Genomic DNA, 2,750 nt, shown 5'->3' with positions numbered 1-2,750 from the left:
TCCATCACAGATAGCAGAGAATCTATACAAAGTGCAAATATCTCTTTAAGGGACTTAGTAGGAAAAGAAGTCAGTATTACAAGTAAGCTTTTAAATACACAGCAAATTTTATCAGTCAAAAATAACCATCTTTTTATCGTTGGGGATGGGCTTCAGGTGTTCCCCAGGAACATTTATTTATTTATTTATTTTATACTTTACATTTTAGGGTACATGTGCACAATGTGCAAGTTAGTTACATATGAATACATGTGCCATGTTGGTGTGCTGCACCCGTCAACTCGTCATTTAACATTAGGCGTATCTCCTAATGCTATCCCTCCCCCGTCCCCCCACCCCACAACAGGCCCCGGTGTGTGATGTTCCCAGAAACATTTAGAGTCAGGTATAAACTTTTGTGTTAAAGAATGTTCTTTTAAAGATAGAACTATGTGTTCTTCCTGTTACAGGCTATAATATTTAATCTGTCTTAGTATAAATATGACTAGAGTGAATTTTCACCTATATTAACTTATCTTTGTTAGAGTTTCTTTCTTCTTCAGCAAAGTTTATGGCATTATGTTTAAGTTTTATAGGCCTCTGCTTATTACAAGAAACAAAACAAAACAAAACAAATCCAAGAAACCAAGAAACCACACAAACCAAGAAAAAAAAGAAGAAAGAAAAATAAGAAGAAAAGAAGAAGGAGAAATATCATTAACACCAAGTAAAACAGAAAGATATAGCCAAATAAACATTTTACTGAAAAATCTTATTTGGTTTTTATATGTATCAATGTGCATATTTTTATATTAAAATGATCATATGCAACTCTTTGGTGGTATTTTTTACTTGACAAATCATGTGCATTTTTATTTGCCAAAAATTATTCGTGTTAAAATATATTTAATTGCTGCAAAATATACCATTATGTGGCAATATCAAATTCCTATTTTTGACAGAAATGATATTTATGATATTTTATTATTTTAAATATTAAAATAAACTTTAGTATACACACTTCTTTGCCAACTGTCACTAAACTGAGGAATTAATTTTTTTAACTTTTTATTTTGAAAGAATTTTAGACTTCCCCCGAAATAAAATGTATTTCAGTTTTTCCATAAATCTTTCACCCAAATTACCCTAATTTTAAATCTTAATAATACAACAATATCCAAACCCAAAAACTGACATTGATATAACATTAATCTTCAATTCTGATTCCAATTTCAACATTTGTCCCACTGATGGCCTTCTTACGGTGCAGAACCAATAGAGAATTCCACACTGCATTTGTGGCCATGGCTTTTTACTCTCCTCCGATTTATGACAGTTCCTTAATATTCTTCAGTTTTTTGTGACACTGACACTTTAAAAAGTACTAGTAAGTTATTTGGTAGACTTCAACTTAATTTCAATTGTTTTTATGTTTTCTTATTATTACATTGAGTTTGTGCATATGGGGGAAGAATACCACAGTAGTGATTTCTGCCAGATTTCTGCATTGTAAAAACACTATGTTCTCTTTGTCACAAATGAGTATCTTTTATAGAGATTTTTGACACTGCATGTATGCTATTTCTCATCATACTTTAATCTAATAATTTTAGCATCCACTGATTCTTCTTGCCTGCAAAAATATTATTGAGGTATTTGTCTAATGGTGATTTTCTATTTCCATCATTCCTTTTCATTTACTTACTGAAATTCTTCTGTAAGAAGTTTTCCTTCTCCCTTACTGATGCATTCAATTATTTACTTATGGGCTCATAAATATCCATGAGTACAGATTCATGGATATTATTTTATTGGTTATAATCCAATACTAACATATCGATTTTGTTGACAAAATTATCCCAGCTTTATCCCATTGGGAGTTACTTCAAGTGACTTCTGTGCCTTTTCAATAATTCTTTATCATGTTTTGAACATTTCCTTACTCTGATATCAAAACATTCTGGTCCTGTTGTGTATGTTCACTGTCCCAGTCCTTGAATCAACAATTTCTCCAAACCAAGATGGGAGGCTAAACATGCTCATTGCTGTTATTCTGTCGTTGCTTCTAAGCCCTGTCAGCAAACTAAGCTAGGAAACAAAGCTATGGATATTTACAGAAACCTATCCATAAATCTATATGTATTATCATATCAGTCTATCCGTTATCTGTATACATAATTAAAACCATGAATTCATTCTGGCATTTCAAATTCTAATTCAACACCACAAGGTCCATTCTAGTCTTCTTTCTTTCCTTATTTACAAATTCTTTCTCTCACTGTGATAAATCTGGCACTCAACATCCACAATAAATATATACTTGTTTGTTCAGTTTTGGTAAACACATAAAATAGTTTCAGAATTGCTAGCTAAGCCCCTGTTTGAAACACATTTATTAATAAAAATACAGTATCAAAGTGCAATTCTTCTTATCCTTAGCATTCTACCCCAAATATTATTTTCCAAATTCACATTCAAATATTATTTTCCAAAATTGCTAAGGTTAGTACTTTTTTCATCAACACATTGTGTTTATATTACTTATTCATAACTCAGTTCATTTGTTACTGTTTATGTTCTTTTTCAAAATTCTCCTCATATTCTGTCAATTTCTGTTATTTCTTTGGTTCTTGATATGTAAAACATTACCTTGGTTCTAAGTGAAAGAACTATACAAAAATGTATATTCAGAGAAATGTGGTTAATGGTCATCCCCATAAATCCATTCTTATTTCTCAATTTGCTCCACTTTATTCTTTTGCACTCCTGTA

Source organism: Homo sapiens, chromosome 4, assembly GCF_000001405.40.
Source record: "Homo sapiens chromosome 4, GRCh38.p14 Primary Assembly".
Taxonomy (NCBI): Eukaryota; Metazoa; Chordata; class Mammalia; order Primates; family Hominidae; genus Homo; species Homo sapiens.
Note: the sequence above shows the minus strand (reverse complement) of the source record.